We start from the raw sequence: 24,991 nt of genomic DNA on the forward strand, positions 1-24,991 counted from the left end.
AAAAAGTAGTTACCTAGCATGACATCGAAGCTAGAAAAAAAACAAAAAAAAGACTCATGTGTGACATGACATAGATTTTTAAACTCCTGAATAAAAATAAGTACTATAAACATATAAGTTTATTATTTCAAATAATAAACTAAAAATTTCTTATAAAAAACAAAGAATTAAAGAATTTCTCTCAATATACAAAGATTTCTTATAACTCAGTAGGGAAATACAAATATCTCAACACTTTTACATGGGTAAAGAATAGCAGATAATTTACAAAGAATTAGTCTGCCTGAAGTAAGGGCAGAGAGCTAGGCATCAAAAACCTATTTTTGTAGACAACAATGATCTGATAACTATCTAATTATCAAGCACTACTGGGCATTTTGAAGTGCCCTCCGAAGAAAACAGTGTAACTGAGCACAATTTTTAAATTGTAATTGATCCACTTCTCCATTTACCCCATTCCATCTCTAGCTCAGAATCAAAACAAATTATAAGCTGGGCCCAGTGGCTCATGGCTGTAATCCAAGAACTTTGGGAGGCTGAAGTGGGAGGATCACTTGATCCCAGTAGCTCGAGACCAGCCTGAGCAACCTAAGCAGAACCTTGTCTCTACATAAAACTTAAAAAATCAACTAAGCGTGGTCACACGTGCCTAGAGTCCTAGCTACTTGAGAGGCTGGAGCAGGAGAATCACTTGAGTCCAAAAGCTTCAGGTTACAGTGAGCTATGACTGTGCTACTACACCCGAGGCAACAGACCAAGACCCTGTCTCTAAAATAAATAAATAAAATGTTAAGTACTGGAGGAAAAAATACACACGTACACATATACGCATATATATATATATATATATATATACACACACACAGTACATATATAGAACCAAAAGTTATGTGGAAGCACCAGAACAAAAATACATACATATATACACACGTACACATGCACAGACACACACACATTCATATCTATACCTGTATCATTACTGATATGTGAAGCAATAGGCACCGAACAACAAACAAATTCTTTTGAAATGTACCTCATATGTTTATATTTTATATCTTTAAATGAGTATTACTACATTTATAATCAGCAATGGGACCCACTCTATTTGGCAACTGGGATAAAAGTCTGGGGCAGATAGTTACTAGCATTTTAGAGATATTTCTACTTTAATCAGAATTGAAATAGGAACCCAAGTTGTATTAAACCAACAAAGGGAGACTTCGACCATGAAACACTGACAAACACAGGATAGAAACAGCAGAAATTAGTAAACTTTAGAGGAGGCACACAATTTAAAAGCCATTTCCTTTTCTCTTGTACTAATACATGATTAACCACCTACTATTAGCAAGCTCAAATCTGTGCTCAGCAATTTAATACAAAGGACACTAAAATTTAAAACAGTCTATGTCCTCAAAGAAGTGTTAATCAGTAATGAGATAAAAACTAAAACTAAACACACACACACATTAGTATACAGAAAGGTCAAAGATTGGCAAAGATTCTAAGTGCAGAAGTTCAGAAAAAGTGACAGTTTTATTGTTCTGATAAGGAATAAATAAAATTACAGAAGAGAGCTGTAGTATCAGGTAAAATGCCTTCCATTGCAAGAAACAGAAAACGCTGAATCACATGCCTTATTTTTATCACATAAGTAATCCCAAAGCAGAGCGGACCAAGGCCTTTCCAACTCTAAAAAATTCCTTCCTCTGCTCCCCATTATCCAAGTTTCACTTACCCATGGTTTAAGTTACCTACAGTCAACTGCAGTCTCAAAACATTAAACAGAAAATTCCAGAAATAAACAATTCATAAGTTTTCAATTGTGTGCCATTCGGAGCAGCATAATGAAATCTCATGCCAACCTGCTGCATTCCCCTCTGGAATGAATTCTCCATTTGTCCAGCAGATCTACACTATATAGGCTATCTACCCATTAATCACTCAGCAGCTATATAGTTTATCAGATCAATTTGCTGTACTGCACCACTTGTGGGCAAATAATCCTTATATTACTTAATAACGGCCCCAAAGCATAAGAGTAGTGATGCTGGCATATTGCTATGATTGTACTATTTTATTAGTTGCTGCTAATCTCATACTATGCCTAATTAATTAAACTTTATCAAAGGTATATCTGTATGGGAAAAAACACTATATATATAGAGAGAGAGAGTTTGGTAGTATTTGAGATTTCAGGCATGCACTAAGGGTCTTGGAATATATTCCCCGGATAATGGGGGACTATGATATTGTCTTCTTTCTGACTAGCTCCTCTAAGGGCTATAATTAATTTTTACCATATTTATCATTATTTAAGTGCTTGCTCTGCACCAAGTATTATTCAAAGAACTTTATGTTCATTAATTTATTTCATTCTTAACAACAACCTATAATAGGTTTTTTTTTTTTTTTTTTTCAGTCAGGTTCTCGCTCTCTCTCACCCAGGCTGGAATGCGGTGGCAAAATCATAGCTCAATGAAGCTTTGAATTCCTGTACTCAAGCACTCCTGCCACCTCAGCTTCCCAAGTACCTGGGACTATAGGCAGGCATCACCATGCCCAGCAATGTTTTTTTAATTTTTGTAGAAATGGGGTCTCACTATGTTGCCCCAGTTAGTCTTGAACTCCTGGCCTCAGGTGATCCTCCCGCATCACCCTCCCAAAGTGGTTGGACTAAAAGCATGACCCATCAAACCCAGACTAGGTAGATACTATTATTGGCACCATGTTTCAACAGCTTTATTGAGACATAATTCACAAACCATAAATTCACTCATTCAATGGCTTTTAATATATTCGCAGATATGTGCAACTATCACCACAGTCAATTTGAGGACATTTTTATCACACAGAAAAAATAAAACTAGTGGCCGGGCATGGTGGCTCATGCCTATAATCCCAGCACTTTGGGAGGCCGAGGCGGGAAGATCACGAGGTCAGGAGATCGAGACCATCCTGGCTAACACGGTGAAACCCCGTCTCTACTAAAGATACAAAAAATTAACCGGGCGTGGTTGCGGGTGCCTGTAGTTCCAGCTACTCAGGAGGCTGAGGCAAGAGAATGGTGTGAACCCGGGAGGCGGGGCTTCCAGTGAGCCGAGTTTGCACCACTGCACTCCAGCCTGGGCGACAGTGCAAGACTCTGTCTCAAAAAATAAATAAATAAAAATAAAACTAGTATCCTTTAGCTGTCATTCTGTCATGGTCTGTTCAGCCTGCTATAGCAAAATGCCATAGACAGTAATTTATAAACAACAGAAATTTATTTCTCACCATTCTGGAGACTGGGAAGTCCTAAACCAAGACACCAGTACATTCATTGATCTGGTGAGGGCCTATTCCCCATGAATGATGATTTCTCTGTTTCCTCACATGGAGGAAGGGGTAAAGGCTCCCTCAAGCCTCTTTTATAAGGGTATTAATCTCATCGATGAGGGCAGAGCCCTCATTACCTAATCACCTCCTAAAAGCCCCATCTCTTCATACCACAACAGGAATGAGATTTCAACATGAATTCTGGAAGGACACAAACATCCTGACTACAGCACTCTCCACCCCCCACCCTCCCTCCACTAGTCTTCCTGAACCTCCACCACCACCACTCTAAGGAACCACAAATCTGCTTTCTGTTGGTATAAATTTCCCAATTATAGACTTTTATAGTAGTAAAATAATATAGTGACTGGCTTTTTTCATTTACCATAGTGTTTTCAAGCTTCATTCATGTTTTGGCATATGTCAGTACTTCCGTCCTTTTTGTGCCTGAATAATAATCTGTTATGTGGATATACCACATTTTGCTTATCCACTCACGCACTGATGAACATTTGGGATGTTTCAACCTTTTGGCTATTATGAATAATGTTGCTATAAACATTCAAGTACAAGTTTCTGTGCTGACATATGTCTTCAGTTTTCTTGAGTGCATACCCAGATGTAGAATTGCTAGGTCATGTCGTAATTCGACGTTTAATGGTTTGAGGAACTACTAGTTTGTTTCCCAAAGCAGCTGTACCATTTTACATTCTTACTAGCAGTGTATGAGGGTTCCAATTTTTCCACATCCTCACCAACACTTGTTGCTATCTGACTTTTTGATCCTATCCTAGCGAGTGTGAAGTGGTATCTCATTAAGGTTTTGATTTGCACTTCCCTAATGATTAATGACTATAATGGCTTTTTCCAAACGACTAATGTTCCATTTGAATATGAGCCCCATTTTTACCATAAGAAAAACTAAGGTACAGAGATATTAAATAAATTATCCAAGGTCACAAACCTACTAAGGGAAATGCTGAGATTTTCACCCAGGCACCCTGGCTCCATGCCCAGAATTTTACTATACTCCAGCAGCATTTCTAGGCATTTCATTCAATGCAAGAAGGATAGACATTTCCAGAGAGTCTGTTTTATCAGTGAGAAAACATTCTCAGAAGCCATTCAAACTTTTTAAATGTCATACATAGACTAGGTTTGGGTCACATGACCCTTCTTAAACCAATTACTGATAAGAAGAATACAGTCATCGTTGTTTCAGTCTGTTTTGTGCTACTATAACAGATTACCACAGACTGGGTAATTTATAATAAAAATTTATTGTCTCACAGTTCTGGAAGCTAGGAAGTCCAAGATCTGGTGAGGGCCTTCTTGCTGCGGCATCCCATAGGTGGAAGGTGAAAGGGCAAGAGAGAACAAGAGGGAGCCAAACTCACCCTTTTATAATGTCACAGTCCTACCCATGAGTGTGAAGCCCTGATGGCCTCATCACCTCTTAACCTTTTTCCCATGTGACCTGAGAATACTCACTGGAGGCGATTGTGGCTGCAGCATTTACCCTGAGATGACTTTGCCACAAAATACCTCATTTTTATTATTTTTGCATTGGTCTAATATATTGACTTTGGAAACAAAAAACATCATTCTATTTACAGCATTCTGTTTTTAATAGTGATATTTCCATTTACGAAACATAATAATTCTCGATCACGGAAAACCTCAAATCCCAGAAAACGTAGCATTCCTAGGCATGATGTTAACATCGTTCTTGAATAATTGTTAGCCAAAGATTCATTTATTGAATCCAATTTTTCTGAAATAGATGATTCTGACGAATCAGACAATTCTGATATTAGTTCTGTTTAGACACAACTCCAAGAAGAGTTTTTATATTTTATTTTCACATTGAAAATCAGATTTTCTTCAGCCTCAAAGAACATGTTTATGTAAAATTAAATGAGCGTTGTCAGCAAACTGCACTTTTCTAAATGGGAAAAGGGTTAAAAGTCCATTTTCTTCATTACAATGGCAATTAAATTTCAACATGAGTTTTAAAGGGGAAAAACATTCAAACCATAGCAACCATAATTGGCTGAGATTATTCAAGATTTCCAAGCAAAATCAGGGCTCTTCGAGAAAGGTAAATCTTGATCAGTCAAATCAATAGTATCTGCAACAGGTATAAACAAACAAAACTTTGTTTTCACTTTTTACACCATCTCAGAAATAAGAAAAGTTACCAGATTTAAAGAGTTATCATTCAGCTTCCATTGCGCTAGTGTTATTTGCATAAGTATGAGTAAATGGATAATTACAAGTCAGTCAGTAAAAGACTTCACAACAAAGGAAGCAACCATTTCAAAAAAGCAAACAAACAAAAATTTGCACTAGGTTGAAATCTGTCTATGGAAAACTAAGCCTTCACTATAGGAGCAAAGCATTAAGTAAAAAAATTTATTTGCACGTTTCCTAATCTTTGAAAACTTGAGTTATGTGGAATTTAAAGCTGAAAAACAGCAATTAATCATTAATAAAAAACATGATTTTAAGTTACAAGGCTTCAAAGTATCCCTTCCAATAAAATGTCACTTATATAACAAAAATTTTTGTTCATTTTAAAGTTTTTTGAGGCTTAGATAAGCTTGTCTTAAAAATGTAAAGTTTAATTTAAAATAATTTCAAGTACTATGTTACTCTAACAACTGTACTACCAACCAGATTTCATCAATCATATTTTAACCATAGTATTAGTTGATAATAGACAAATTTTTTCGGTACTTTTTATAATTTTATACTTGTAAATTAGTGTGTATGCTCCAAAAATGATGCAGTACACTTTAGCATTTGCTTGTTGGGAAGAGATGAGAAAATAAGATGCGTTTATCAGATCTTCCAATTGCGCACCAGAAATACTTTCAAAGTACCTATGTTGTAATTTCATTTTTAAAAAATTCTTTTCAATTGGGGGGGAGGGTGAATAAGTAATTACAAAGAATGGCTGCCTTTAGATAGAGGTTTATCATGTAATTATAATAATGATCATTTAAAAGGATCCAAAATGTCTCCACTAGTTTAAAGGGCTAGGCAGAGTTATTTTTAAAATCAAACGTATGTGCTTTTTCTGTTTATGTCTTTGGAAAGAACATTCTGTATAATGAAAAACATGACCAAATTTTTCACAGTACATCACTATAAAACCCTGTAATTGACTTTTGGGGTTGGTTTACTCTATATCTATTTTTGACCTCGTAGAAAACAGCAATGATGTGGTGAAAGGCCCAAAATTTAAGTCTCATTGCAGGATAAGACTCCATCCTGATTAGTATAGAAGTATCATATTTGTGCTGGGAAATGTGCCCATTCTAGTAGAGAAAACTTTAGTGCATAGGAACCACCTCTTTTCTAATCAAGCCATGTAAAAACTAGTAACTCTGGTGTCTAGTCTGGGCCTTGGATGGAATGTGGATGTTGTTTACACCGATCCCCTCCATTAAAGGCAGCATAATGTTGGTCTTCAAAACTGATGTTGGAAATGACAGGTTCATTGCAGTTAATCTGATGGAAAGTAACAATGTATGTCACAGGTAAATTATAAATTAACCTTTAAACATATAAATTATCATTAGATAGTTCTTTTTCTCTTGTGTTAACACAGATTAAATAAAGAACTTAATCTCCTTCTAAAAGCTTTGAATTCCGTTACTAAGGAACAAACTAATATGTTATTCCTAACAAAAAGCACTGTTCTTCATCGAAGTCTAAAATACCTCTGAATGGGTACTCCTGCTTTCACCAGTAAAATTTACATACTACCAAGTAAAATAAACTTATGTTACATGGTATAAAAATCAGCCCTGTAACACCTACCACAGATTTATCTCCTGTGAGTTGACTCAATCATTCCTTCTTTTCAGTAAATAAACTACATTCTACGCAGGGAACTGCAGGAAAGTTTTTCAGAGGCCAAGTCAAAGAATATGTTTCACATGGAAACTTCCAAATTGACAGCCTGCCCATTTTTGGTAGGTATTAAAGGGTCCTCAGCACTTTATGAATTAGTTGTGGTTTACCTAAATAATCATGGCCAAAGCTGCCACCGTCACTGCATTCAATTTATTCCTATCAAAAAAAATCAATGTACCTTTAAAAAAATTAACACATTTTCTAAAATTCAGGCTAAATAACAGCTTTCTAGCAGCATTGCTGATTGAATGATAATCATAATAAATCATTTTTAAAACAAGTATATTAAAATTAGTCCATTTTTATTAGTCTCTCATAACATAGATTATCTTTTAATCTCTACATTTTAACAAGTAAAATAATGAATTAACATTAACTACACAAGATTATTTAACAGCTTCCACCAACTTCTTGAGGAACAGTTATACAAAGATGTTTGAAGAATATCCTCTTTATGAAAAATAAAAAGCTCCTGAAAATCCTTACACGAATTGCCTATATAAAAGATCATCTCTGAACAATGAAGGAACTTCTTACCAAGCTAACAAGATAGGCAAATAAAATAAGGTAAACAAGTATGTGACAGCCTGAGCTATATTAGAAGTCACCAAGACGAAAATCACTGAAAGACTTTTGACCCAGCTGCGTCAGGTGTCCTGGTCCAATTCCCTGCAATAAATTCCTCATCTAAACAGATGAAACTGCCCACAGTATACTACTTGCACACCACCAGATAGGCCAGCTGATGTTTATAACTGAAAATAAAGCCAAGAATTAGAAGTATATTTTAAAATAATTTTTTTAAAACCCTACCAATCAAAACCAATCAAAATTTGCCCTGGAACAGGCAAATTCACAGCCAAATCCTACTAGACATACAAAGAAGAGCTAGTACCAATCCTAGTGAAATTATTCCAAAAAAACCAAAAATCAAGTGGGAACTCCTCCTTCAATCATTCTGTGACTCCAGCATCATTCTGATACCAAAACCTGCCAGAGACACAACAAAAAAAGAAAACTTCAGATCAATATCCCTGATGAACAGAGATGCACAAATTGTCAACAAAATACCAGCAAACTGAATCCAGAGGCACATCAAAAAGCTAACTGACAATGATAAAGTAGCCTTTATTCTTGTGATGCAAGGTTGGGTCAACATACGCAAATCGATAAATGTGATTCACCACACAAAAAGAATTAACAAAATCAGAAAAAAAAAACACATGATCATCTCCATAGATGTAGAAAAGGCTGTCAATAAAATTCAACATCCCTTCATGTTAAAAACTCTCACCAATGGCATCAAAGGAACATACCTCAAATAGTAAGAATCATCTATGGCAAACCCATAGCCATCATCATACTGGACAGGCAAAAGCTGGAAGCATTCTCCTTGAGAACTGGAAGAAGACAAAGATGCCACCACTCTCACCACATCTAGTCAACATAGTACTGAAAGTCCTAGCCAGAGCAATCAAGGAAAGAGAAGAAACAAAAGGCATTCAAATAAAAACAAAGGAAGTCAACCTATCTCTCTTCAAAAATGATATCACTCTATACCTAGAAAATCTCAGATTCTGCTAAAAGGCTCCTAGAACTGGTAAACAGGGTCAGTAAAGTTTCAGAATACAAAATCAACATAAAAAATCAGAAGCATTTCTATATACCAATAATGCCCAAGCTGAAAGCCAAATAAAAAATGCAATCCCACCTACAATACCCACAAATAGCATCAAATACCCAGGAATACAGCAAACCAAGGAGGTAAAAGATCTCTACAAGAATTACAAAACACTGCTGAAAGAAATCAGCGATGACATAAACAAATGGAAATATAGTCCATGCTTGTGGATAGCAAGAATCAATATTGTTAAAATGGCCATACTGCACAAGGCAATTTACAGATTCAATGCTATTCCTATCAAACCACCAATCTCACTCTTCACAGAATTTTTTAAACTATTCTAAAATTCTTATGGAACCAAAAAAGAGCCTAGACAGCCAAAGCAATTCTAAGCAAAAAGAAAAGCATATTACTGGCACAAAAACAGATACACAGACCAACAGAACAGAATAGAGAACCCAGAAATAAACCCAAGCACCTACAACCACCTGATCTTCAACAAAGTCAACAATAACAAGTAATGGGGAAAGGACTCCCCATTCAATGAACAGTATATGATAACTGGCTTACCATATGCAGAAGATTGAACCTGGACCCCTTCCTTTCACCACATACAAAAATCAACTCAAGATGGATTAAAGACTTAGATGTAAGACCTAAAACTACAAAAACTCTAGAAGAAAACCTAGCGTACCTATCTGGACATCAACCTTAGCACAGTTTATGGCCAAGTCCCCTAAAGCAATTGCAACAGAAACAAAAATTGACAAGTGGAATCTAATTAAACTTCTGCACAGCAGAAGAAATTATCTGTAGAGCAAACAATGTCTCCTACAAAATGGGAGAAAATATTGGCAAACTATGCATCCGACAAAGGTCTAATATACAGAATCTAGGAGGAACTTAATATGTGAAATACAACCCCATTAAAAAGTGGGCAAAAGACATGAACAGGAGCTTCTTAAAAGACAACATACAAACAGCCAACAAATATATGAGAAAATGCTCAACATCACTAATTATTAGATAAATGTAAATCAAAACCACAATAAGATACCATCTCACAACAGTCAGAATCGTTGTTATTAAAAAGTCAAAAAATAATAGATGTAGGTGAGGTTGCAGAAAAAAAGAAAGCTTACACACTGCTGGTGGGAATGTAAGTTCAGCCACTGTGGAAAGCAGTTTGGAGATTTCTCGAAGAAGTTAAAACAGAACCACCATTTGACCCAGCAATCCCACTACTGGATATATACCCAAGGGAAAATAAATCATTCCACCAGATAGACACTGGCACACATATGTTCAGCACAGCAGGGTTCATAACTGCAAAGACATGGAATCAACCTAGATGCCCATCAAGAGTGGCCTGGATAAAGAAAATGTGGTACATACACACCATGGAATACCACACAGCAATAAAAAGAACGAATTATGTCCTTTGCAGAAATACGGATGCAGCTGAAGGCCATTGTTCTAAGCAAATTAACAAAGGAACAGTGAACCAAATACCATATGTTCTCATCTAAAAGTGGGAGCTAAACATTAGGCAGACATGGATATAAAGATGGCAACAACAGAAGGTGGAAACTTCTAGAGGGTGGGTGAGGGAGTTGGGTATGGGTTGAAAAACTACATATTGAGTACTACGTTTACTACCTGGGTGATGAGATAATTCGTACACCAAACCTCAGTAACATGCAATTTACCCACGTAACAAACCTGAACATGCACCCCTGAATCTAAAATAAAATTGGAGGAAAAAGGCTATCATTTGAAAAGCTACAGAAATGAACAAATGTAAAAAACGGACTTGCTGCATGATGATAAAGGGAATGCCATTCTTGTATCCCTACAGTCTCAAATCCAACAAAAGAAACAAACATAGTCCCTTCTCACCCCCCAAAAATGTGCTTTTTCTTGCCATAAAATCGTAACCATCACACAAAGGCACCTTGGTGATTTCATAACATTGTATATTATAGTCCATTTTCTATTAAAAATACCACTAAAGTAAATTTTTAGGAAAATTATGTTACCTGATCAGTAACTTGTACTTAAACATCGATTATGTACATCATTTGAATACCTTCCAGAGGATCGATTCTCCAACATAAAATTGAAAGAAAACCAGATCCAATTAAATAAGCAAATTCAATTTACAGAAAAAAATTACTTGTTTCATTAAGTCAAACATTGTGGTGGTACACCAGAGAAGTAGAAATCTATTAGCTATGAATTAATTAATGAAAAAGAAATGAAAACACTTATTTTTTAAAAAATTTACATAAGCATTATAAAACAGAAATGACAAAGTGCATTTAAAAAACTGATTGGATCTTGAAATCTGTATTTTTTAGAAACACCCAGAATAAGATTTCAGAAGAAGTATTTTTATATACATTTTTAATTGTTGTGGTGTAAAAATTGTTGTGGGTAAAAGTTCACCAGCCAGTCATTTTTCTTTCATTTTCTAACTTCCTCAAGAAAACTGGCTGGGCACGGTGGCTCACGCCTGTAATCCTAGCACTTTGAGAGGCTGAGGCAGGTGGATCACTTGAGATCAGGAGTTCAAGACCAGCCTGGCCAACATGGTGAAACAATGTCTCTACTTAGAGTACAAAAATTAGCCAGGCATGGTGGTGCACACCTGTAGTCATTAAGATTTAATGAACATTGGTTATAAGGTTCCTGTTGTTTAACTTAATAAACAAAGCACAACAGTTCATCAGCTATACCAACCCTAAACTGTCTAGCCCTGCACTTCTTGTGAGGCAGGATAAAATAAATAAAACATCACTTACTTAAGTCACTATTTGTTATGTTTTCATTACAACAAGTCTAATATGAGCCTAACTCTTATAATATTTGCTACCAAGAAAGGAAGGGAGGGAAAGAAAGAGAAAAGAAAGAAGGGAGGAAGGAAGGAGAGGAAAGAGACAAATGAAGACAAGTAGGGAGACGAGCAAAATTTAGAAAACATGAGAACTAGTTTAAAGAAAAGAGAAACTATTTTTAAGTGAGAGAAGGCAAAACATATCCGAACAAATGTAAAAAGGATAAACATCTATTAAAGGAAAAAAATCACTTTAATGAGATTAATTTGAACTGAAATTTCCCCTATGAAGTATTGGAGTGAGAAGACAACAGCTCTAGTTACAATGAATTTTCCTTGATATACACACAATTATTTCAAATCCAGTGCATTTCCTCAAGAAAATCTTAATTATTCAGATTAAAGCAATATTTTTGGAAATGAATGAAATACATACAATAGAAAAGACCTCTCAATAGGACACCTAATATTATCAGTGTATTTTAAATGATCCTCAATTTTAATAAAACCGTACTAAACATAATTGAAAATTTTTCTTAGGTAAGACCTTATGTCCTTTCCACATACTTTCAATTCTACTTTGTTATATCACAAAAGAAACCTTGTATATTTCATTCTTAGTTTTTCTAAGTTGTTGACAGATGGAGAATGTTTAACTGAACTTTGTCCTGTCAAACAGAATCAACTACTAATTGTTTTGGCTAATGATATTTAGCATGAGTCTAGTCCGGCTAGGTCTTAAATAACTTTCAAAAGTTTTTTAACCTTCGTCACTTCCTGGGATATACATCTTAGCAATCACAACCTTGAGCTAAGCCAAGAAAAGACTGCACATTGAGCAACACTGGTGATATATTTAAATACATTAAGGTTAAAATCTAGTACTTTTGAAAAATCCTTAAATATATAAGGCACACCAAAGTAGGGTTTTTACTTTTACCTTTAGAAATAAATCTGCAGAAAAAGTACTAACAGTATTACATGGCCAAGAAAAAATATCACGTAAAATTAGTGTGTTCCCTGCAGCATTCCAACAAAAATTATGCCATTTGGATAGAGGTACTGAATATATTATGCAAGCAAGAATGTTATGTTTGACCAATTAATCTCCTTAAAGTAGTTAAAAAGATCACACTATAACAATAAAATAGATGTTTGAGAAGATAAAATATATCAAAATGTATCTACCAAAAAGTGATCAAAAAGAAACTCATTCATATCTTTTGCCCAAATATAAGTCACCTTTCACAGAATTAATGTTCAGAAACAGTTGCCTCACATTAGAATCCTAACAAAGATTCTCATATTACACAGTACCACCACGATTTTTTATTTTTAATCAAAAAGTAACATTTGAGAAAAATACACTAGCCTGAATTGACCTCAATCAGTTGGAAGCTTATAGAGTTATAGCTTGAAAACTTATAAACGTAACCTGACAATTTTTTTTTTAAGAAAGAGAAAAGCCACAAGGAAATTCAAAATGGATTTAGCCGTTATTCCCGGGAGAATTACTTTACAATTCCAAATGCTAGATGTTACTGTAAAAATTTTTTTTAAAAATCTAGAAACTTCAAAAGAAATAAAATACTTACAACATGGACATCATAAATAATGAGTGCTTAGGACTTGGTAAAAATTTCTAATGATTTCGTCAAAGTGATACTTAACCTCAAACAACCAAGAAGAAATAAAAATCATATACCATGGAAAACTCAGTTGATATCTTAAAAAATATTTCTAGGATTGATGAATACACTTAAGTCAAATGCATGTAACAATATGAAAAGACTCAAGAAATTTAAATAGAAAAATAGTATATTTAAATTAACATTTATATGATTTGAATGTATATTAAATTATTAAATATTATGAATAGACATTTGATGACATCTATATCCCTAATAATTTTCACATTCAACTAAGTAAACAACTTTTTAAAATCTTCTCATCTGATAAACAGAAATCTGCCTTATATTCAGAGACACTATATTCAGTCATATATAAAAACTCTGAGGCATAAAATGAAAAATATTTTTTCACATATTTACAGAGGTAGCCATTAAGGAACATCTTCTTTACAAATTATGTTGGCATATTCAATAAATGAGTACAGCTTAAGCATTCCTAACCTGAACATCCAGAATGCTCCAAAATCCAAAAGTTTTTGAGCACCAGCATGGTATCTACAAGGGGAAAATTCCACAACTGACCTCATGTGACAGGTTACAGTTTACATAGTCAAAACTGTTCAGCAAACAAAATTATTAAAATTATGGTATAAATTTACCTTCAGCCTATAAGTATAAGGTATATACGAAACATAAATGAATTTCATGTTTAGACTTGGGTCCCATCCTCAAGGTATCTCATTATATATACACAAGTATTCCAAAATATGAAAAACAAACTCAAAATCCAAAATACTTCTGGTCCCAAGTATTTTGGATATGAGATACTCAACCTGTATTATTGAAAAGGCTGACCATGCCACACATATCTCCGATTTTAATTTATATAACGGATTTAGAGAATACGCATTTTAAGACCTAAAATTCATGCCCTAATTAAGGAGTTAACAAGGACATCTAAAATCCCTTACTTCTTCAATCTATTCCTTTTATAGAGTAAAAAGGAAAATATTTAATTCTCTCTCCCATATTCATACATAAAAATATGCACACATTTCTGCACATGCATACAAGTGCAATGTTTTTATTGCAAGCCTTAAAATGATCCCAATGTTGTCTGCCAGGGCAGTAAACTGAAAGTTATTGAATTAAAAAATATATTTGAAAATAGTTGAGATATTAAGAAATTATTTTAAAAACTTGGCTAATATTCAATTTCTTAGTGTTATTCTTCAGTGCCTAATACCTATCTCCTTTGAACTCTCACACTACGATAGATTACAATATACACCATCTACATCCAATATATTGCACTTAGCAGAGTTACTTCTCTGCCTCTTGACTTTAAATTGGCCAATGATAAATAGGCAGTAGTGACAAAATGTGCCAGTTAAGAGCCTAGGCCTTACAAGGACTTAAGAGGCCCTCTGGAGACACCACCATCACCAAAAGAAAAAGAAAAAAAGCATGACCTAGGTTGCCCCCTAATCCAAAAGTAAAGATGAAAGTCATGGGGAGTAGCACCAACCCAGCCTACCCACACATCTGCAATGCGAGGCAGAGCTGCCAGCTCACATACAAATAATTGTTGCCACTGAGCTACCCATTATTTGCTATGCAACAATAGTAAAAAGAGTTATAGGTACATTATTCTCATTGACATTAAGGTTGAAACATCAACAGTATACAACAATATAAAATTAGTTCTCTTTCCATAGAATGAAAGGCCTTGATATTCAAAGTTAAAAAACAAATGAAATCATTAAGGTAAACACATCAATGGAAACAATTAGTTCCTTCTTTTATCTGGAATACATATATGCAATCATAGTCCTGCTGCTATGACATGACAGACTCAGAGACCCAAATAATTTATATCTTGTAATTACAATTCACACTTTTAGAAATTAAAAAGGGGTGCGTGTGGAACTCTGAAATTAATGGCAAATCCTCCAAAACATAAAAATGCCATCAAACTTGAATGTCAAATATTTTTCCACAGCTTAGCACCTAGATACATGATTTACAGATCTGCCTAAATAGAGTAAAAACAACAACAAAAAACATGATTCTCCATAAAAGCACAACAGAAAATCCTTAAAATATTTTTTAATGAACGATTCGGATAAATTGGAGATCATTTAAAATACAATCTCCAAAACATAATCAGGACATTCTTATATACATCAACTGACATGAATTTTTATTCTCACTGTAAGCAATTATACAAGTGTATAGTATACCTACTTGTAAAAAGGGTCTAAAGTAAACTACAGCAGAGGCACACAGAAAACAAAAACCATAACTATTCAACAAAACTAAATGTTAGATAACTAAGAAGAATGTGTACACATAGAAAACAAAAACCATAACTATTCAACAAAACTAAATGTTAGATAACTAAGAAGAATGTGTGATAGTTTCTGAAAGAAACTTATTTCAGATAACCTGACAAATTGAATATGGATTTTTACTCTGAACTTCATCCTAGTCAAAATTATTAAAGATTTAATGAATATATTGGTTAAAATGTTCCTACTGCTTAACCTAATAAAATGAAGCACAACAATTCATCAGGAAAATGTAACTTTTTTCCTGTCTTCAAAAAGATGGTGTCATGCAGAGCTTTATGAAAGAGAGACATGAACATTATAACTGAAGGTATTGTTCTGGAAAGTCAATCACCTAGAAAGCCAAATAAGTAAAGCTTGGGTATATCATACTCCAATCACCACAGCTAGTGAAAAGAAAGAAATTTGAGCAGCACATACTAAAATATGTTTCAGAGAAGGATAACGGCAAAACATGGTAACAGGTATCGTCAAATCAAATGGATACTGAATGAACTAAATTTGGGAAACCCTTAGTTGAACAAAATTAAATAGTTTCCTTACTGTAGGACTATTTGGAGCCTTTAATATGGTACCTACACTGTTAAGTACAAATAATACCACATTCCTCATTTGTTTAACACCATTTTATCAAGAAGCATCTGAAGGAAAGCCTTATTTAGAACATATTTTAGAAAACGCTAAAGAAACAATTACTTCCTCAGACTATACCATTTTAATCATCAAAATTATTAGTACTGTTGTCTCACCATGACAACTACAATTTGAGAGTCTACTAAGCTCTGAGTATTAGGCACGCACTTTATCTCTACTTAAACAGAATCATTTGTAAATCTCTCAAAGTATTATCCCCTCAACCGACATTTGAATGGTTAGGAAAGACAATTCCCTCTACAGAGATCCCTTCCACAGTCTGACAGGTAAACAACTAGTCAATCTTCAAGCTTCACAATATCTTTAAGCTATTGCACTTACCACGTTATCAATTTAATTGTTTGCTTTATACACTTGCCTCCCATATGAGACAGATGTTTAAAGCGCAAGGGTTATTGATCATTTAACAATTTTATTGAGATATAACTCACATACCATAAAATCCATCCACTGAAATTATACCATTCAACAGTTTTTAGTATATTCATAGTTGTGCAACCATCAACACAATCTAATTTCAGAACATTTTCATCACTCCAAAAACAAACCCTGTCCTTTAACAGTCATTCCTCTATCCTGACCCTACTCACTCCCTGCTCCCAGCCCTAGGCAACCACGGATCTATCCTGTTTCTATAGATTTGCCTATTCTAGATATTACAAATAAGTGAAATCATGCAATACGTGGTATTTATGACTGGCTTCTTCAACATAATGTTTTTAAGTTCATATGAAGGGACTTCATATGACAAGTTAATGGAAAATGTAATTGAAAGATAAAAATAAAAGAATATAAACCTTATGTTCAACATAAGCTCCATCAAGGTCAAGACACTTGTAAATGATGATACCAGCCACTTATTACTCTATCCCTAAAGAACTGAGAGTCCTGGGAATTTAGCCATGTCAGTGCAGTCTTTTTTTATACACTATTAACTATATTAAAAAAAAAAGTGGTTGACAGATATGGTTTGGCTGTGTCCCCACCTAAGTCTCATCTTTAATTCCCAGGTGTTGTGGGAGGCACCCAGTGGGAGGTGACTGAATCATGGGGGGAGGACTTTCCTATGCTGTTCTCGCGGTAGTACATAAGTCTCACGAGATCTGACGGTTTGATAAGGGGAAACCTGTTTTGCTTAGCTCTCATTCTCTCTTAGCCTGCAGCCAACCATGTAGCACGGGACTTGCTCCTCCTTGCCTTCTGCCATAATTGTGAGGGTTCCTCAGCCACGTGGAACTGTAAGTCTAATTAAACCTCTTTCTTTTGTAAATTGCCCAGTCTGGAGTATGTCCTTATCAGCAGTGTGAAAATGGACTAATACAGTAAACTGGTACCACCAGAGTGGGGCACTGCTGAAAAGATACCTGAAAATGTGAAAGCAACTTTGGAACTGAGTAACAGGCAGAGGCTGGAACAATTTGGAGGGCTCAGAAAGACAGGAAAATGTAGGAAAGCTTGGAACTCCCTAGAGACTTGTTAAATGGCTTTGGCCAAAATACTGATAATGATATGAACAATGAACTCCAGGCTGAAGTGGTCTCAGATGGAGATGGGGAACTTTATGGGAACTGAAGCAAAGGTGACTCTTATGTTTCAGCAAAGAGATTAGTGGCATCTTGCCCCTGCCCTAGAAATTTGTGGAACTTTGAACTTGAGAGAGATAATTTAGGGTATCTGACAGAAGATATTTCTAAGCAGCAAAGCATTCAAGAGGTGACCTGGGTGCTGTTAAAGGCATTCCATTTTAAAAGGGAAATAGAGCATAAAAGTTTGGAAAATGTGCAGCCTGACAATGCGACTGAAAAGAAAATCCCATTTTCTGGGGAGAAATTCAAGCCAGCTGCAGAAATTTGCATAAGTAACAAGGAGCTACATGTTAATCCCCAAGATAATGAGCAAAATGTCTCCAGGGAATGTCAGAGGCCTTCACGGAATCCCCTGCCATTACAGTTCCAGAGGCCTAGGAGGAAAAAATGGTTTCCTGGGCCAGGCCCAGGGTCCCCGCGGTGTGTGCAGTCTAGGGACTTGGTGTCCTACGTGCCAGGTGCTCCAGACATGACTAAAAGAGGCCAAGGTATAGCTCGGGCTGTGGCTTTAGAGGGTGGAAGCCCCAAGTCTTGGCAGCTTCCACGTGGTGTTGAGCCTGTGGGTGCACAGAAGTCAAGAACTGAAGCCTGTGAGCCTCCACCTAGATTTCAGAGGATGCATGGTAATGCCTGGATACCCACGCTGAAGTTTGCAGTAGGGGCAGGGCCCTCATGGAGAACCTTTGCTCAGGCAATGTGAAAGGAAAATGTGTGGTTGGAGCCTCCACACAGAGTACCTACTGCGGCACTCCTTGGTGGAGCTGTGAGAAGAGGGCCACCATCCTCTAGACCCCAGTATGACAGATGCATGGACACCTTGCATTGTCCATCTGGAAAACCTGCAGACACTCAATTCCACCCCATGAAAGCAGCTGGGAGGGAGGCTGTACCCTGCAAACAGAGGGGCAAAGCTGCCCAAGACCATGGGAACCCACCTCTTGCATCAGTGTGACCTGGATGTGAGACATGGGGTCAAAGGAAATCATTTTGGAGCATTAAGATTTGATGGCCCCACTGGATTTCAGACTTGCACAGGGCCTGTAGCCCCTTTGTTTTGGCCAATTTCTCCCATTTGGAATGGCTGTATTTACCCAATGATGTACTCCCATTGTATCTAGGAAGTAACAAACTTGCTTTTGATTTGACAGGCTCATAGGCAGAAAGGACTTGCCTTGTCTCAGATGAGACTTGGGACTGTGGACTTTTGAGTTAATGCTGAAATGAGTTAAGACTTTGGGAGACTGTCGGGAAGGCATGTTTGGTTTTGAAATGTGAGGACATGAGATTTGGGAGGGGCTAGGGATGAAATGATATGGTTTGGCTGTGTCCCCACCCAAACCTCATCTTGAATTCCCACAGGTTGTGGGAGGGACAAGTGGGAGGTGACTGAATCATGGGGGCAGGTTTTTCCCATGCTGTTCTTGTGATAGTGAGTAAGTGTCACGAGATCTGATGGTTTGATAAAGGAAACCCGTTTAACTTGGCTCTCATTGTTTCTTTGCCTGCTGCCATAATTGTGAGGCTTCCCCGGCCATGTGGAACTGTTAGTCCAATTAAACCTCTGTCTTTTGTAAATTGTCCAGTCTCGGATATATCTTTATCAACAGCGTGAAAATGGGCTAATACATTGACCTTTAAAGACAGTTTAAGATTAGTAAAGAAAAAGAAGTCAGAAGAAGCTGAATCAGGACTGTAAGGTGGATGCCTAATGATATCTCATGGAAACTCTCACAAAATTGCTCTTGATTGGAGGAAAGACAGGAGTACCGTCCTGGTGGAGAAGGATTCTAGCTTTACCAGGCATTTTTTTTTCTGCTAAAGCTTTGGCTGACTTTCTCAAAACACTCTAATAATAAGATGTTATCATTCTTTGGCCCTCCAGAAAGTCAACAAGCAAAACGCCTCAAGCATCCCCAAAAAAACTGTTGCCATGACTTCTGCTCTTGACCAGTCTGCTTTTGCTTTGCCTGGACCACTTTTACCTCTTGGTAGCCATGGTTTTTATTGTTCTTTGTCTTTAGGATCATACTAGTAAATACACATTTCAACTCCTGTTACAATTCTTTGAAGAAATGCTTTGAGATCTTGAGCCCATTTGTTTGAAATTTCCACTGAAAGCTCTGTTCTTGTCTGCAGCTGATCTGGGTGCAGCAACCTTGGCACCCATCGGGTGGAAAGTTTGCTCAACTTTAATTTTTCAGTCAGAATTGTATAAGGTGAACCAATTGAGATATCTATGGTATTGGCCAGTTTCTGCTGTTGTCAATCCTCTTCGATAAGGCTACAAACAAGATACATTTTTTCCTTGAAAATTGATGTGGATGGTCCGCTGCTGTGGGTTTCACAGCATCGCCTCATCCCTTCATGAAATGAGACGTTCATTTGTAAACTGCTGATCTCTTGGGGCACTGTCGTCCTCATATACTTCTTGTGAAGCATCAGTGATTTCACCATTCTACCACCCAAGCTTCCCCATAAATTTGATATTAGTTCTTGCTTCAACTTGGGCAGAATTCATGTTGCTCTTTTCAAATGGATGTCTTATCCATCTTAGTCCCTCAAACTAGATCCTGTCATACATGTTATAACAAGTTAGTAAGAGTTTATTTTGTTGTTTAAAAAAAATGTGAAACCCAGGCATAGTATTTCATAATTCACATTTTCCACAAACTTTTAAAAGACCCCTTGTATATCAGTAATTAATTCCTTTTTATTATCAAATAACAATATTTAATTGTATGACTCCTCCACATTTGCTATCCATTCATCAGGTAACAAATATTTGGGTCATTTTTATTTTTTGACTATTAGAAATAATGCTGCTACAAACATCATGTACAAATTTTGTGTGGACTTATATTTTCATTTCTCTTCATTCTGCTTCACTAGGAGTGAATCTGCTCGATCACGTGGGAAATCTGTATTCATTTAACCTCTAGAAAAACTGCTAAAAATGTTTTCCAAACTAGCCACACCATAGCACATTCCCATCAACATTGTAAGGTTTCAATCTCTCCACATCATCACATTTGTTATCTTTTTGATCATAGCTATCCTAGTGGGTGTGAAGTAGTCATCATTGTTGTTTTGATTTGCCAATAGCTAATGACATTGAGCATCTTTTCATGTGTTTATTTGGCCATTTGTAAATCTTCTTTGGAGAAAAGTCTATTCAGATCCTTTGCCCATTTTTTAATTGTAATGTCTTTTTAATTGTTGACTTGTAAGAGGTTCTTCACAGATACAAGTAACTTACAAATTTGTGATTTTCAGAAATTTTCTCCCATTGAGTGAACTGTGCTTTTATCGTCTTGAAAGTGTCCTTAAAATACAAAAACTTTTAATTACAATGATGTCCAATTTACCTTTTTTCCTTTGTTAGCTTGTTATATCTAAGAATGCTTTGCCAAACTCAAGGTCATTGTGTTATATCTAAGAGTGTTTTGCCAAACTCAAGGTCATGAACATTTACTCCTATATTTCTAAACATTTTATAGTTTGAGCTCTTATATTTAGATCTATGATCCACTTTAATATCTATGTACGGCATGAAGAAGAGGTCCAAATTATTTCATGTTGTTCCAGCACCATTCCTTGAAATAGCTATTCTTTCCCTTTTGAATTATTTCAGAACCTTTATCAAAAATCAGTTGATTAGCTGGGAACTGCAGCTCATGCCTGTAATCGCAGCACTCTGGGAGGCTGAGGCAGGTGGATGGCTTGAGCCCAGGAGTTTGAGACCAGTCTGGGCAACACGGTGAAACCCTGTCTGTATTAAAAATATTTTTAAAATTTGCCAGGTGTGGTGTTGTATGCCTGTACTCCCAGCTACTTTGGAGGCTGAGGTGGGAGCATCACCTGAGCCCAGGAGGTCGAGACTGCAGTGAGCCAAACATGCACTGTGGCCTGGGTGACAGAGCAAAACCCTGTTTCAAAAAAAGAAAGAAAAGGTGTTGGACATTGTCAAGTATTAATTTTTGTATGTATCTATTGAGTTGATGCTTTGATTTTTTTCTTTTTTTCTATTAATGAGGCATATTATATTAATTGATTTTTGGATGCTGAACCAACTTTGCATTCCTGAGATAAATTTCCCTGAAACTTGGTATATATGTTTTATATGCTGCTATTATTTTGTTGAGAATTTTTGTACCTATATTCATAAGCGATAGTAGTGTACAGCTTTCTTTTCTTGCAATTACTGTTTTTTATATCACAGTAATATTAACATCACAAAATAAACTGGGAGATGAAAAAGTAGTGGGCTTGGTGACTGGGAACATGAGGGAGGATTCTAAGATGAAGGCAATCTTCTATTTCTTGGTCTGCTTACTTGTTTCATGACTATGTTCAGTTTTTCAATATTCATTCATCTATAATATTCTTATAATCTCTGTTATTTTTGAGATGTATGTTTTACTTTACCATTTTTTTAGAAAAAGAAAAAATCATTATGACATATTTCTAAATTTGTTCTTAAAAGTGTTCTTTTTAAAATTATCTGTTACACATTGTGTAAAATTATTGTCAGTATTCATCTAAAGTATCACGTCTTGAAAGACAGGAAAAGAATGAAGAACTGTCACAGATTTGAAGAGACTAAGAAGATAGAATATTTAAATGTAATGTGAAATGACAGACTGATTCCTGGAACAGGAAAATTCCACTGGAGGAAAAACTGGTGAAATTTAAATAAGGCCTGTAATTTAGTTAATAGTATGATAAAACATAGCATTTCCTAGTTCTCATATTTATACTTTGGTTAGGTAAGTTGTTAATATTAGGGGAAGTTGGGTGAAGAGAATACTTAAATTCTCCACTCTATTGTTGCAACTTTTTAGAATGACATAAATTATTTAAAAATAAAAAGGTTTTAAAAATATTACCTTGTGACTGAATAATACATTTATCTAGCTCAATATTCAATAGGTTAAAAAATTAAAAAAGAAACACACACTGAAAAGTCTCCCTCCTATTATTGTCTACTAACTATCTAGTTCCCTTACTGAAGAACAACCAGTATTATCTTTTTTCTATTCCCTTCCAGAGATTATTTTTTCTAATGTACCATAAGAAAATACATACCTGTCAGGTATGTATATTATTTTCCCCCAGAAACAGCTTTTCATAAAACAATTCCAGTCGCAGAATTTATGCTAACAACGCACTAAAATATTCTGCTATTTACTGCATTACTGTTTATTTTACCAAAAATGTCAACATACATAAACATAAAAGCCTAAAAAGTTTACTAAAAACAGTGTTTGAATAAACACACTCTGCAGACATATAAATAGAATAATATAGCACAACTAAATGGAGTTTATATATTAGTACCATTTAACATTTCAAAATTAATGTAAAAAACTACACAGCTTTTCAAAATTATAATATGAAAATAGAAACCTCTCCTATAAAAACTTATACAATATAATCAAATACTATATAAAGAAAAAAGTTATGCACTAAAATAGTTATTGTTCATTTGCTTTTGTTGCTTTAGGGTCTGTGAGATAGATTACAATAATGGCCCCAATTCTTCACCCCTCCCCATATCTGTATCTTTTTCCATGTGGTTTTGCAATTTTTGCAATTCTTTTCATTTAAAGAGTCAGCGTATATTTCCCACTCATTGAACCCTAGCTGATTTTCTGATTTACTCTGGCCAATAGATTAAAGTGATGGCACACCAGCTACAAGATTAGGCTTTAAAATGTATTGCATTTTTTGGTCTTTATTACATCTCTCCCATTATGAGGAGAACACACCTGCTACTTGATGAGAGAGTAAAACCAAGTCAAACAGTTCCTCCAATTAAGGCCATCCAAAATCAGCAGAGCTGCCTAGCTGACCATCATACACACATGACCAATGAGGACTTAACTGTTGCATGCCACAGAGACTTTGAACTGCTTTGTGATATTGCATTACTGTAGCAATAGATAACTGATACAAGATACTTAACTATATACTACTTAGGACACTGGTCACCAGAAACTACCTTTTAATTACAATACTTCCAAAGATAAAACACATTTCTATTTTCTATAAGCTTTTCTTATGATTTTATATTACATAAAACTCCTTATCCAATGTAAACTCAATATATTAAACCATTTAATCTAATGTAACATTACTTAATAATCACTTATTCTTGCTTTGTGATGCTTATACTAAATTCTTAAATGCAACTGAATTCATTTTGGGACTCTCCATTTTATTCCACTAATGTCAAATTATTATTATTAGTTAAGATAAATTCTAATACTTCATAGAAATACTTTTCTCTATTAGAAGTGTCCAAATTATATATAGCTATTTTTATGTTACTGCATAAAATATTACAGTTATTTTTCCTTTACAAAGAAAAGGAGGTTTAGATTAGAATTATTATCTAGGATTAGCACTTCTAATATGTCTGGAATCCTCAGGCTACAATAAACGTACAGGTTTATATGGAATATATCCCAGAAGAAAAGAGAATTTTTTTTGTACCAGTGAAAATAGATGACAATCAGTGGGATGGATACAATCTTTATCTCTACTAGCCATAAACTTTCCACCACAAATGGATCTGGAGGGCCACAGACCCTCCAAAACTGTAGACATATGGTGAAGCAACAGGCAGGCATTCAAGTAGGTGGGAATTATTACATGACTCTGAATAAAGCATTACCCTATAGGGACTCAGAAGAATACAATTTTTGGTGTAACTCCATATTCTCTGTGTCAGGATTTACACACACGCAATTCCAAACATGACTTGGATCTCCGATTAGAAGTGATAGACTGGATAAAGAAAATGTGGCACATAAGGAAAATTACCTCCTTATGACAACTAGCTAATTAACTAGCTTACAAAGCCACTAACAGTAGCTTACAAAATCACAGCTGTTACTTTTTCAAACAACTAAATGTTGATTTCATTTTAAATGTCATTTCAAAAGAATTAATGATTTCCTCAAAGCACTACAATTTATACAGCATGGAATACTATGCAGCCATAAAAAAGGATGTGTTCATGTCCTTTGCAGGGACATGGATGAAGCTGGAAACCCTCATTCTCA

At 35.4% G+C, this 24,991-nt stretch overlaps 1 protein-coding gene across 28 annotated transcripts in view, besides 1 other annotated feature; it reads right to left on the reverse strand.

Annotated features, from left to right (window-relative positions):
- The window catches only part of SUPT3H (SPT3 homolog, SAGA and STAGA complex component), a 568,878-nt gene that overhangs the window by 443,962 nt on the left and 99,925 nt on the right, over positions 1-24,991 (reverse strand). The window lies entirely within an intron of this gene.
- Positions 16,221-16,421: a silencer, noted in NCBI's record as "peak5822 fragment used in MPRA reporter construct". NCBI's record gives its function as "represses an SCP1 promoter by STARR-seq MPRAs in K562 erythroleukemia cells {active_cell/tissue: K562}" and the evidence as "EXISTENCE:reporter gene assay evidence [ECO:0000049][PMID:32103011]".

The sequence above is a fragment of the Homo sapiens genome, chromosome 6, assembly GCF_000001405.40.
Source record: "Homo sapiens chromosome 6, GRCh38.p14 Primary Assembly".
In the NCBI taxonomy this organism is placed as follows: domain Eukaryota; kingdom Metazoa; phylum Chordata; class Mammalia; order Primates; family Hominidae; genus Homo; species Homo sapiens.